Below are 13,307 nucleotides of genomic sequence, written 5' to 3' on the forward strand. Positions count from 1 at the left end.
CTTTACTTCTCCCTCTGTGTGTTCCATACTCCATGGCCTAGTCCATTGTACTTGCCTCAGTCTTCATATTGTATGATCTTTTACTGTTGTCTTGTAAGCTTCACTCCTAGGCTGCAAGAGGCTTGAGGGCTGGGATGGGTCTTCACATTTAAAAAATCTCCATGGTTTAGCACAGTGCCAGGCAGATATAAAAAAACAAACTGAAGGAAATACACCAAAAAGATGAGATAATAGATGACAATAAAAATGTATTCTTCATACTTTTTCATATTTTCCGTTATTATTATTATTATTATTATTTGAGACAGAGTCTCACTCTTGTCACTGAGGCTAGAGTGCAGTGGCACAATCTTGGCTCACTGCAACCCCTGCCTCCCAGGTTCGAGCAATTCTCCCGCCTCAGCCTCCCGAGTAGCTGGGATTACAGGCACCCACTATCATGCCCAGCTAATTTTTGTATTTTTGTAGAGATGAGGTGTCACCATGTTGGCCAGGCTGGTCCTGAACTCCTGACCTCAGGTGATCCACCCGCCTTGGCCTCCCAAAGTGCTGGGATTACAGGTGTGAGCCACTGCACTTGGCCCATTATTTTATTTTATTTTTAATCATAAATAGTATTACTTAGAGAATGATAAAAACAAAAACAGTAAGTGGTATTTTTTTCGAACACTCAGGATCGGAGAGGATCTGAGAAGCATGCTGTACATGTTTCCACCCCAAGGCCAATGTAGCATCCTTGCCTTAGCTTCCAATGTGCAAGAACAGCTGGCTATTCCTAGGGCTTTCCCACAAGCCCCAGACACACTGTTGTGAGGGGCGGCCACGTGGGTGTCACAGCTGGGAACTGGTTCTACTGTGGCCTGTCCCTTTTCAGGGATTGATTTGGGCTGTGTTACGGTAATCAAGCACAAACCAACAGTTATGTGGGATGTCTTATATATACCAAATACCCCTGCAGCTGGAACGCACTCAATTATCTTGACTGCCTTGGGGCTGAGCTGAGTGATGCAGCCAGGCCCTGTGCTAGGTGCGAAAGTGACTCAAAGGAGCCAGGCTGTGTGTTTCATGCTGTTTAGCAGTTTGCAAGCTAGTTGGGCTAATAATATGTGTGCATTCAAAGCTAACCAATATCAGAAGGCAGTATTTAAGCTTCAAATGAGTTTCTAGGAGGTAGAGAGGGTAGGAGGGCTGTGTAAGAAGGTGGTGTTTTGAGATGGGACTTGACCCAGGGTCTCCAATGGTGGCGAAGAGGAGGCAGGCCTTCCAGGGAAGGAAACAGCTTGCAGAAAAGCCTAGCAGTGGGAGTAAGTTTGGCTTGTGTATTTCATTTAGGGGTGGTGGGGAACTGAGTGATGGATGGGGACAGAGAAGAAAATGTGCAGCCGCGAATGGGAAAGTGATGGAGACGTGGGTATAGGCCAGGTCTGGGAAGGTTGTGAGAGCAGGACAAAGGTGGAGCCATGAACTGGAAGGTGGTATGGGCCCTTGTGTGGCTCTCAGGGGAGGAGGTGCTCTAATGTAACCACTCTGGGCCACAGATTCTTCCCATATGTGGAAATGTGGTATGAACCCTGTTAAGAACATGGGCCATGGGTGAGATGCTTGTGTTTGATTCCTGGCTCCACATCGTATCACCTGTTTGAGACTCAATTTCCTTATCTGCAAAATGGTGATAATGAAGCCCCTTCTCATAAAATTGTTCTGAGGATAAAGGAGATAATCCATATAAAGTGTTTAGCATAATGTCTGGCACATTGCATGTGTCTAATAAATCGCTGTTTTATGCAAATGAATATTAGTACTTATTTCATCAGTATGGTAAAAATGGTAGTAAATCTAGAAAAACCAAATATCAAAATAACTGGAAATTATTCTATTAAGAGAATGAACTTGAGAATGCTTCAGGGAGATCTTTGTTGGAAAGTCCCACTCCAATTCTACAATTTGGCTCCATTTACTGTGGCTTAGCTTTTGTGAAATATTTATGTTGGCAGGTTACTCAACTATAATTTTTGTTCGTTATCCCTCTAAGCTTGGTGAGGAAGATTAGTCTGTTTATCTTATATTGCAGAAGACACATGTAGATATAAATGCACTGCCATTTAGTTACAACATCTCTTCCATTAGCATTTACCGTGGTTGTCAGCCAAACTTCTATGGGGTGGAGGGGAAGAGAAGGGGACAAAGGGGTCCGTGAGTGACGGTGGTTGGGCAATTTTATACTGTGAAGAAGAAGGTGGTGGAAAATTTGGAGGCACCAGGGTGGTTTCTGCTTTGCCAGACTTAAGACTCAGCCTTGGAAGTCCTTGCAGAAGATTAGGAATGACCAAAATTGCTAAAACAAGACTGGCAAAGCAAACCAAATACCTCATACTCTTTAAAATATTAGTCATTCCTTCGGATGCTATAGTTTAAATTCTCCCTAATTAAAATTAACAACCTTTGGGGGACATTTGAGTGCCATTATCAGTGGACTTCTTAGTGGAGAATTATTTTCCAAGCCAAAGGACAACACCCCCAAACTTGGCTGCTACTTGACATTCCTGTGTGCCGGACTTACGTGAGTCTTTTTAACTAATGACAATGGTGAGCTGAGAAGGTCCTCCAGGGGATATGACTCACAGTGACTCAGGTGCACCAGAGCCTTGATCTAGCCCTATTGTTTTTCGTCAATAGGCCTTTGCCATGATCCAGCTGGAATATCAGTGGAATTGAGCTGGTCATGATAGAAAGAGAGGCCATTCAATGCCAATGCTCTTGTGAGATGCCTGGTAGTGCCGGTTACCTCTGCAGTGGCTGGCCCTGGTCTATGTGTGCTGTCTAACCACATAGATGATGGTGGCAGTGCCTAATGGTCCAGGCAGATGGGGGCCTGAATGAGCAGAGGGAAGGCATCAAACACATCTCAGGGCACAGCCTTGACAACATCAGATGCCTCCTAGGTTCTTCTCATACATAATAATGAAACTTTTCCACAGCCCTGCAAAGCACTGGTTGCTGTTTCACATGGGACAAATGCCTGTGTTGACCCTCAATTCCAGCCCACGGAGCTGACCTCCTGTGTCTTCTTCACTACCCCTCTATAGGGCTTTTTACTCCCATTTGAGAAAAGAATGATGCCTCCATTTAGAAGGAAACATACTGCACCCCAGGCTGGGCCTTTTGTATTTGGCTCAAGAGCTGTGCAGTGTTTGTTTTTTCCCTGCCACACATCCATTTCCCCTTCCTTTAGAAGCAGCATTCTAGTTTTCCTTGGGGTCAGCATCCCTTCCTCAGCCTTAGCCAATGTGTGGGCCAGATAGAGCTGACCCCACCCTCTGGAGTACTGGCATATGTGTGTGACCTAGGTCCGGCCAGTTGGCATCATAGTGCTTGTTTCAGAGATGGACACATATAAGTCAAGCTGGACCGATGGGTATTAGCTCTGGGGTTTTTTATGTAACTATTGACAAAGAGGTGCTTGCTTTCCTCTGGGGCTGCTAACTTGGTAGGGTATAAAGTTGGAGCTGCTGGTAGATTATCTACATGAATAAATAAGAAGAGCTTGCCCAGAGAATAAAGTAAAACCAAGAGGCAGAGGGAGAGAGACATGTTCCTGAAGACAGTGTTTGAGCACCTGGGTACCTGAATGTGGATCGTTTAAAAAATTACACAAGCCAAATTAATAAGCTTTTTTGTCTGAACCATTTTGAGCTGGTGTTTTTGTCACTTACAGCCTAAATAATTTTGGATAATAAAAAGTTCATCAAAAAGGTGTACAATTAAATTTAGGAACTTTGAGGTTGCAGTGCTGTGATCCCACCACTGCACTCCAGCCTGGGTGACAGAGCAAGACACAGTCTCAAAAAAATTTTTTTAAAGGAACTTGTATTTTCCTGAGGACTGTGCCTTCACATATTGTCTGTGGTACTAGCAGTCTACCACCTACCCAGGGACCACAGAAATCTTGGGTGGCAGAAACGGGCAGTACTTTTACATCTCCGATACCTGTGGCTTTTGGCCACCTCGATTTTAGAGAAGAGAGTCATAGGTAATGTTTAGTTGAAGAACTTTCCTCAACCAATATTTTCCAGATAACTTATATTTTTCTTACTTGTTTTCTGTAATATTGAAAAAGTGTCCAGGCAAATACTGACCCTCTGGGCTATATAGAAAAGGTATAGAAATCATTCACTGGAATGTAAAGTTGAGTGTATTCTGAGCTTTAATGGATCTGAAACATTTCAGGAGAATATCACGAAGTTCTGGAATCATCATTTCAGCATAGGACCTTAGAGTCCTGTTCTGGTTGAACCTCTTTATCCCAGAGGAGAAAAGATTCAGAGAGACAAAGAAGTTTCGCTTAAGGCTCATGGTGAATATAGTTGCAGACAATCAGTACAAATGAAGAGGAGAGAGGGTCCTGCTGAATACCTCATAAAGACCAGAAACTAGACCCTTTGCTTACTGTATTATAACTCTTTGAACAGATTCCCAGCTGAAACCATCAGAAGAGATGATTGGACTCACTGCTGAAACATCCAGCAGTGTGGCCTAGCTTCAGGTAAAGATGGATCCAGGAGTTTGGAATCAAATCCTAAAGACAAAGTCTCTTTTTTTTCTCTGTGTTAATTGTGCTGCTTTCCTTTGTGTTGGTTTTAATTCCCCAGCAGGTTCTGTCCACATGGTAGCTTCTGGCAGCTGTTAAGATTTTGTGCTACCAGATTAGTAATTCCAGTTGATGAACAGCTTATATTTCCCAATAGTTCCAGCAGAATCTCAGGAGTCATGTTTGTGGGCTCCAAAAGGGTAACTCCTGAATCAGTCAGTATGACCAGGGGTTTGCTGTCAGCATCATGGGCCAACTCAAATCAGCTGAGTGGAGACTGAGAGTAGGGGAGGGGTGGGCAAGGTGAACATGCTGTTACCTGGAGGAGGAATCATTGCCAGAAACACTAGAGGGCCACTACTCTTACGATGGGCAAGGAGGAGGTGGGGTGGGGGAGGGCCAGAGATTTTCTTTCAGGAGCTAAATCCCAGGGCTTAGTAATGGTATTTGGCCTTAAGCCTGCAAATGGCACTTTCATCCAGCAATATAAGCCCTGAAGTTTTTCTCAGCTGCAGAGAAGAGGTTTCCAGGAGGGTGTCAGTTTGGCCCTTGCTGGTGGCCTGGCCTCTGCTAAACATCTCGGCCGTGCTCCTCCATTTTCTGGCCGTGATAAGGCACCCCGCCAAGCATATCTCAGACAAATATCTGTATTGTTTGTGGTGTGATTGTGACTTCCTGTCTTCCAATTTAGTTTTCTGCCTTACTTTTCACTGTCTGGGTCATTTGATACTACATCTGGCACTTCCTGTTTTTTAAGACTCTGACTCTAGTCATCTGACTGTAGAAAACAGAGGTCAACTTCTTCATAAGTGATGCCAGCTTTAGTCACTTGTTTTGGTATACTAGTTGAGATTTGCGTAAGGAAAATTGTCAGGTGTCTGCTGGTTTTCTTAGCCTCAGACACTTCCCTATTTATAAGTTTTTGTTTTTCAGACATTGGGACTTTCTCCCCCTTGTGTGGATGTGGTGGGAGTGGGTGATCTCTGCCCTGTCCCTACAAATAATTCAACGGTGGTTCTCTCTCTCTTAAGGAGAACTACCAGTCCCGTAGATGCAGCTCTAGAATGAGGGTGCTTTGGGCATAACAGGCTCAGCCATCCTTCTGGTGTCTCGCCCTGTCTCCTTTCCCATCCTTGGGTTCACTTCTCTCCCTTTTTCTCTTCACTTCAAAAGTGGTTAGCTCCAGTTAAATACCTGGAGTTGGGACAGCAGAAAAGCTGCTAAATGCAGATTTGCTTTTTCTCACTAAAGAAAGAGGAACATTTTAGTCACTAATTTTCACTTCATTTAACCTTTCTTTCCACAGAATGGCCTGACTTTTGCTGGAAGGGGACAAAGCCCTAAGACATTTATATCCATGAGTAGAACATTTATGATATCACTTACACAGCTTCCTGGCCTGAGCTTTTCCAGACTTAGCTTATATTTTAGTCAAAGTAGAGGGATGGATTTAAGGAATTGTCTAAGATAAGTGAGAAGAGAGGACATTTGTCCTACCTAAAGGCAATGGCAGCTTGTGGGTGTGGCGGGGGGAATCTATAAAAAACATCGAAACAGGCTGGGCATGGTAGCTCACGCCTGTAATCTGAGCACTTTGGGAGGCCAAGGTGGGCGGATCACCTGAGGTCAGGATTTTAAGACCAGCTTGGCCAACATGGTGAAACCCCATCTCTACTATACAAAAATTGGCCAGGCATGGTGGTGGGTGCCTGTAATCCCAGCTACTCGGGAGGCTGAGACAGGAGAATGGCGTGAACCCCGGAGGCAGAGGTTGCAGTGAGCTGAGATCGCTCCACTGCACTCCAGCCTGGGCGACAGAGCGAGACTCTGTCTCAAAAAAAAAAAAAAAGAAACAAACACTTGAGGCTTGACATTCTGCTCCTTCTCCATGTGAGGTCTTCACTGAGCAAAAGCAATGGTTAGCTGTGGCAGCTGTGAAGAATCAGAGCATGGCTGTGGGTATGTTCCACCAGCATCTCCAAGGCTGTAGCTGGACTTCACAAAGGCTCAGTTTCCAGATGAGCTGCCTCTGACTGCCCTACTTCCCAGGGGCATGGGAGGTGAAGGCCAAATCTCCTCTCCTCTTCTCTCCTACTTTCACCTCAAGCAGTGGGACCACTGGAGCTGTGGAAATGTCTAGGCCTCCAGTGTTTCTGCCAATAGGGTCACAAGAGCAAGGAAAATCTCTTGTCTCTGAATTCTCCCTTCACTTGTCTTACCTGGGTGATGATGGAGGGGCATGTTGGAAGTCTGTCTGGCTAATTGTGTAAGAGTGTGTGTGTGTGTGCACGTGCACACACATACATGTGAGACACACATGCTCAGCAACATCCCAGCTCAGGCCTTCATATTCCTCAGTTAGAACTACAGAATTAAGTGCTTACCTTACCCATTGAAAGAGAGGCAATACTGCTCAGTGTCATGACTTAAAACAAGGGAAAAACCAACCAAATCCCAAACCAAACAAAAACTCCCTTGTTTTGTTGTAATGCTTTAAATGACCTCATTTCTTCTCCAAAGCCACCTCATGAGGTTGGAAGGACAGGCATCATGGATGGATGGGAGGTTTTAGATGGGGAGAGGGAAGGAACCCACCTGTCAGTGGGCTTCCACATCCAGCGTCAGTTTAGAAGGCCTGCATTTCATTTTTAGTTGACAAAAGAAACCAAACTGGCCAGGCGCGGTGGCTCACACCTGTAATCCCAGCACTTTGGGAGGCTGAGGTGGGTGGATCATGAGGTCAGGAGATTGAGACCATCCTGGCTAACACGGTAAAACCCTGTCTCTACTAAAAATACAAAAAAAAAAAAAATTAGTCAGGCTTGGTGGCGGGCACCTGTAGTCCCAGCTACTCAGGAGGCTGAGGCAGGAGAATCGTGTGAACCTGGGATGTGGAGCTTGCAGTGAGCTGAGATCATGCTACTGCACTCCACTCCAGCCTGGGCGACAGAGCAAGACTCCATCTCAAAAAAGAAACCAAACCAGCCAACCAGCAAACAACAACAAATGGCCTTTCACCCATACAGACAAAAGAAATCTGACGTGCCTGGAGTTTATGGAGAAGCCATCCAAAGCAGATGGGGCCATCACAAAGTTATCAATGCCACCAGAAAGGGATGGACACCTGCGGTGAAATGAGATTTCTAGAGTCCCTCTAATTGCTGCTTCCATGTAGGAAGGTGTCTTCCTACACCCTGTCCCTGAAGCTCTAACAGAGGTCAATCAGGGCAGCAGGAGTTTCTTGGTGGCCTGTAGAAAGGACAGCGGCTCACCCTGGGGTTGGACTCTGTCTCTGTTCCCTTTCTTTTTCTTCCTTCTCACCTCCACCAAGTCTGATACCAGTCCCAGTGAGGATATCATCTGGGAAATACCTCATGTGTCCCAGGAGTCTTACCTTTTGCATGTTCTGCTCTGTGATCTCTGGTGGGAATCTGCAGTACAGCAGGACTGGACTGGAACAAGGCAACAAGGACTAGGAGCCTTCCGTCCAAATCTTGGCTTAGCCATTTTCACTTACCGAATGCCCTTAGGGAGGCACTTAATCTTTTCAAGTCCCTCTTGGTATATCTATAAAATAATAAACCAAGGTGTTTTGTGTGGTGTTCTAACAGTGCTTGGTACAGTGCCTTGCACCCAGTAAGTCCTCAATACAAGGAAGAGATTAGTAGTATCCTCTGGATACAGACCAATTTTTCTAATCCTGAATGAAATTCCAATAAGCTGCTACTTTTGATTATCATGATAATCAGAGATACTATGATTTTTGAACATCCTCTCTTTCAAAAATATATTTGCTTATGGCTTAGTATTACAGTGAAGCCTCCGGCATGCGACAGACCTGGGTTCATGTTCTGGCTTCACCATTTATCTCCTTCTCTTCTCTGTTTCCTTATCTGAAAGCTGGGGCTAAGGACAGACAGTTCCTTCAGGTTGTGTTATACATATGAGAAGTGTATGAAAAGGGCTCAGTGAGTGGTTGTTGTTGTTCCATTTTATTGAGTACGTATTGTGTGCTCATGTTCTCACACCTGATTTCTTGTGTTGTCAACACAATAATCTTGAGAGGTAGGAATTATTATCATTCTTATTTTATGGGATAGGAAACTGCGGCTCTGGGAGGTCAAGTCTGAGGTCACATAGCTAGGAAGTGGTTGAAACTGCACTGAAATCTCAGTGTGGGAATCCTTCCACATCACTCTCCAACTGAACCCTATACATTTTTACCCCAGCCCTAGGGTTCCTACCTTCTCTTTAGCTTTCGGCATTTCCACGATTCACTCTCCTCTGGGTGTGCCACCCTGTCCTCAGCCAGGATGCCCAGAGGCTTCCTGTCCTGGCCTCTGCCATCTCTGTCTCTCTCCATGCTTGTCTCCCCCACCAGACTTCGGCATCCTTGAGGCCTGTGGCTAGGCCAGTCCCTACTTACCCAGCGCTGGTGGCCAGCCTGGCCCACAGCAGACCTCTCCCCAGTGTGTGTAAAATTAGAAACTGACAATGCAAGGTAGTGCCTGGGAGTTTCAGGGTGCAGGGCCATCCCACACTGTCTGTCCACCTCCATCTCTGGGTGACCTGGCACAGATGGGCTGTGGGACGTTCTGAGATGTTCCGAGATGGCTGTGGACTGTGAACTCCACTTTCCTCTGAGTCATCAGCACTCCACATACACTGAGCTCATCTGACTCTACTGGCAAGATGGCCCAGGCCTGCTGGCTTCGGGACCCACATCCTGCCCCCATCCTGTGTACCCATCGTGTGGTATTAGTAAGCCCAGCAACTCTGGGCCACACTGCTTTACCAGTCCTCTAAGCCTCTACTGCTGACCACAGCCACATGCAAGCTTCCAAACATGCCTCAAACATGTATTTGTCTGTTCATTCATTCATTCATTCATTCCCACACTGATCTAGGTCCTACAGATACCTAGACAAATAAGGAACTCGGGCCAGGCGCGGTGGCTCACGCCTGTAATCCCAGCTTTTAGAAAGGCAGAGGTGGGAGAATAGCTTGAGCCCAAGAGTTTGAGACCTGCCTGGGCAATGTCGCAAGACCCCGTTCTCCACAAAAAGGAAAAAAAAAGACAAAAAAAAAGTGTAACAAATAAGGAACTCAGAGCTAAGTGTAAGGGTTTCCCACACCTGCATATGTCTCAGAGTCACCTAGGAAAGTTTTTACAAATACAGTTTCCTGGACTCCACTGGAGACCTACAGAAGAAGGATCTCTAGGAGTAGGTTTATAGGAATCTGTATATTTAAGATACTCACAGCCAGACTCTGAACACAACTGGTTTGGAGAACCTGTAGTCAGGGAATTCGCTGAGTAGCAAATACCTTGAGAAGGCAAGAAAGCAAGACAGAGGCTGCGAGTGGGGAGTGCTGCCCTGCCACAGCCTTATCCTTTGCATTTGGGATCATGGCCTCTAAAAATCCTGTAGCATTTTCTTCTTCCCAGGAGCTCCCGCATGCAAAACTGCTACCAGATAGTCAGCTCCCTGAGGACAGGGACACATCTATTTCCATCCCTGTTATGTCCCCTGTGCCCACAGCAGGGCCTGGTATCTAGAAGGTGCCAGGCAAAAATTTGTTGAATAAATGAATCAGTGAATGAATGAATTCATTCCCTGATTCCCTTTAGGTGCGGCATGCATACCATCTTGTCGTTTTGTGACAGTGTGTGTGTGTCTGTGTCTATAGGAGGTGGACAAGGAATGGCACAATAGGATGAGAGGTTACCTCGGCTTTGCATCCAGCGGGTTCCCTTCAGGCCCTGGGCTGTGAGGAGAAATGGGGTTTGGAAGTGGGGTCTATGGCCTGTCCCTGCAGAGAGAAAGGGGAGCATCGGGGCAGGAGTGTGCCCAGCCCTCTGGGGCGTGTGGAGCTTGCCAAAGACAGACCTTGGCCTGTGCTGAGGAAGAGAGAGGCGGCTGGCACAGAGCAGTCATTCAGACAGCAGTTGACCTCCTGCCAGCTCCAGCGAGGCCCTGAGGACCTCGGTCCTCCCCAGCCGGCCCACTGAGGCCTCAGAGAGAGGCCCATCCATCACGGGGGGCCCCCAGGGAGGGCCGGGGGTGGCTTTCTGTGTCAGTTAAGGGGCTTCATTTTCAGCACAGATCTTGTCAAATTCAAGCTGTCAACCGCACAGACCCTGAAAGCCTGTCACAGACCCCTGGGGACAGGCGTGTGGTGCATGACCTTGAGGGGACTCTGCTGAGTGTGGGACTGTGGTGATAAGAGGGACAAATGAGAGGAAGCCACCTGGGCCAATTGCATTATGCTTGTCCACACCACCCCTTTGTGCTTGTCCTTGAGGGACGTTGGGGCAGCTGCACTGAATATATTTCCTCCTTCCCTCTCCTTGGTTCCCCCTCTCCCTTTCTGCCATCTCTTACAAGGCACAGGGAAGGAGGCAGTGCACTCAGGTTAAGGACAGACTGGCTCTGCTGCCTAGAAGCTGTGTGACCTTGGGCAAGTGACTTAACCTCTCTGAATCTTTTCCCTCAGGTTGTGATGAAGATTGTATGAGGTGATACATTGCTAAGAACAGGCGGCATATTGTAACTGCTCCAGGGTTATTCACTATTGTTATCATTTTCATGGAGGTAAGGCACAAACAGTTTGGATTCCTTGCTGGTGTTCCCTCATCTCCTTAGCATTTCAAGCTGCACACTTCAACTCTACGTGACCTCACAACATCCCAGTGCCCATTTAAAGGTGAATAAATGGGCAGGCATGGTGGCTCATGCCTGTAATCCCAGCACTTTGGGAGGCCAAGGTGGGTGAATCACTTGAGGTCAGGAGTTCGAGACCAGCCTGGCCAACATGGCGAAACCCCATCTCTACTAACAATACAAAAATTAGCTGGGTGTGGCAGCACATGCCTGTAGTCCCAGCTACTCAGGAGGCTGAGGCAGGAGAATCACTTGAACCTGGGAGGCGGAGGTTGCAGTGAGTCCGGATGGGGCCACTACACTCCAGCCTGGGTGACAGAGTGAGATGTCTGTCTCAAAAAAACAAAAACAAACAAACAAAAAAACAAACAAAAAAATATTAAAGATGAGTAAATAGAGGCCGAGCTGGGATTGAAGGCCAGGACTCCCACTAAATTCCCATTTTGGTCTTCAGATGGGTTCCTGAGGAACTAGATAGCCCTGCCAGCCCTGTGTGTGGGTGCAGCCATTCAAGTTCTCTTCTGAGGGGACAGGCCGGGCTCTGGGCAGGGCATTCTTCTGTCATGTCAGGGAGGCGGGAGCTGCTCTGACTGGTGGGCTTCCCGCCGTCCGCTCTGGGGCAGGGAATATCTCAGCTGGGGCTGTGAGGAGCTTATATCTGGTTATTGGGTGAAGGTTGAAATCACGTTAGCTGAAAGTGGCCATCGGGGCAGGCCTGAGACATGAAGAAGACTGAGAGCAGACGGGAGCTCTGAGGAATGAGAACGCCAGGGAGGCTGGGGAAGCAACAGCAAGACTGACAAAACGGGGAGCTGCCCAGGACCACTGCTGGGCGTGCCCTGATGTCTGTGAGGAGACTGTTTTGGACCTCCTGCGGGGGCCAGTTTAAAGGGCCCAAAATGTTCTAGAAGGCTCCTCTGAGGAAAGCCAGAGTTCTCTCACTTTGCACCTGTGTTGAGTCCTGGCTGCTGGGACTGGCCCCAAGCCTCCTCCTCCTCCTCCTCAGGAGGAAACATTGCTGGTTGGAGGGGAGATCTAGGCAGAAACAGTAGGAACCTACTGCCACCCCCCCCACCCCCCCCCGCTACCACCCCGGCCCTGGCTGGCTCCTCACTTGCACTGATCAAGCACCTGCTGGGTTAGGGGGTTACAAAAAGTTGTGGGACAGGGCTGTTGGTTTGGCCTCTCATCTTCGTGGGAGGATCCTTACCCCTGGCCAAGGCAAGGGGCTCACACAGCCTCTCAGGAGGACTGTGGCCAAAGGACAAAACCAAACTCCTCCCCCGATATCAGGCTGTGAGCCAAAGGAGCCTTGAACTGTGGCAATGGCAACTACCACCCAGAAGCAGTGCTGGTGGGGGGTGGGGGAGGGAGAGGCAGAGGGAAGCCGGTGGTGGTCTGACAGGCAGCGGGGCAGACAGGGGTTATTGAAGGGCATGGCCTGCCTCCACGATTACTCAAAAGCAAGCTGCACTTCTTACTGGCCCTTTAAGAACGGCGCCTACGTGATGAAATGCCAGGGCTGAGTGGAAGCCCAGAGAGTGTGACCAGAAGCCACTCCCTCTGTGCTGAGAGTCACGCAATCTATGGTCCATGCCCGCGAGTGACTGGGAGCTTGTTTGTGTGGGGGGCTGTTCCCGCAGCTGGAAGCCCCAGGTAATCCCAACCCCCTGCAACTCACAGATGATACTAAACTAAACAGCCCTGGCTGCCTCTGCCTCGGACCCCATGTTCTCTTTCCCTCTTCCTAGGTGTCAAAGGGCTTAGACTAGACGCGTGTTTCCCCAAATGCGCTTTTGGGTACCACTGGCAAAACACAAACCAAATTTAGGTAGTGGATGGACAGGCTATTTTATATATTTATTTTAATGCTTATTAGAAAAAATTTAACTGGCACATCAAACTTATGATTTCATGGTTATTGGTACCTGGGATAAGACTAAGTTTAGTTAGGTAAAAAAGGTAAGTCAAATTTAAAGAAAAAACAATCAGGTAAATATTAGTATGGTCAACACTGTCCACTAGAAATACAATGGGAGACAAAATGGGAGCCA

General features: G+C 47.5%; 6 annotated features.

Moving 5' to 3' along the window:
• Positions 2,124-3,323: an enhancer, noted in NCBI's record as "CDK7 strongly-dependent group 2 enhancer chr2:136993310-136994509 (GRCh37/hg19 assembly coordinates)". NCBI's record gives its function as "activates an origin of replication core promoter dependent on BRD2, BRD4, P300/CBP, MED14 and CDK7 cofactors, with strong dependence on CDK7, by STARR-seq in HCT116 cells {active_cell/tissue: HCT116}" and the evidence as "EXISTENCE:reporter gene assay evidence [ECO:0000049][PMID:35650434]".
• Positions 2,420-2,920: an enhancer, noted in NCBI's record as "H3K27ac hESC enhancer chr2:136993606-136994106 (GRCh37/hg19 assembly coordinates)". NCBI's record gives its function as "activates a minimal SCP1, AML or CMV promoter by ChIP-STARR-seq in primed H9 embryonic stem cells {active_cell/tissue: H9 hESC(primed)}" and the evidence as "EXISTENCE:reporter gene assay evidence [ECO:0000049][PMID:30033119]".
• Positions 5,553-5,622: an enhancer, noted in NCBI's record as "active region_16586". NCBI's record gives its function as "activates an Ori minimal core promoter by ATAC-STARR-seq in GM12878 lymphoblastoid cells {active_cell/tissue: GM12878}" and the evidence as "EXISTENCE:reporter gene assay evidence [ECO:0000049][PMID:35858748]".
• Positions 8,543-8,837: a silencer, noted in NCBI's record as "tiled region #14513; HepG2 Repressive non-DNase unmatched - State 23:Low". NCBI's record gives its function as "represses a minimal TATA promoter and a strong SV40 promoter by Sharpr-MPRA in HepG2 cells {active_cell/tissue: HepG2}" and the evidence as "EXISTENCE:reporter gene assay evidence [ECO:0000049][PMID:27701403]".
• Positions 10,060-10,560: an enhancer, noted in NCBI's record as "H3K4me1 hESC enhancer chr2:137001246-137001746 (GRCh37/hg19 assembly coordinates)". NCBI's record gives its function as "activates a minimal SCP1, AML or CMV promoter by ChIP-STARR-seq in primed H9 embryonic stem cells {active_cell/tissue: H9 hESC(primed)}" and the evidence as "EXISTENCE:reporter gene assay evidence [ECO:0000049][PMID:30033119]".
• Positions 10,561-11,061: an enhancer, noted in NCBI's record as "H3K4me1 hESC enhancer chr2:137001747-137002247 (GRCh37/hg19 assembly coordinates)". NCBI's record gives its function as "activates a minimal SCP1, AML or CMV promoter by ChIP-STARR-seq in primed H9 embryonic stem cells {active_cell/tissue: H9 hESC(primed)}" and the evidence as "EXISTENCE:reporter gene assay evidence [ECO:0000049][PMID:30033119]".

This window comes from Homo sapiens, chromosome 2 (assembly GCF_000001405.40).
Source record: "Homo sapiens chromosome 2, GRCh38.p14 Primary Assembly".
Lineage (NCBI taxonomy): Eukaryota > Metazoa > Chordata > Mammalia > Primates > Hominidae > Homo > Homo sapiens.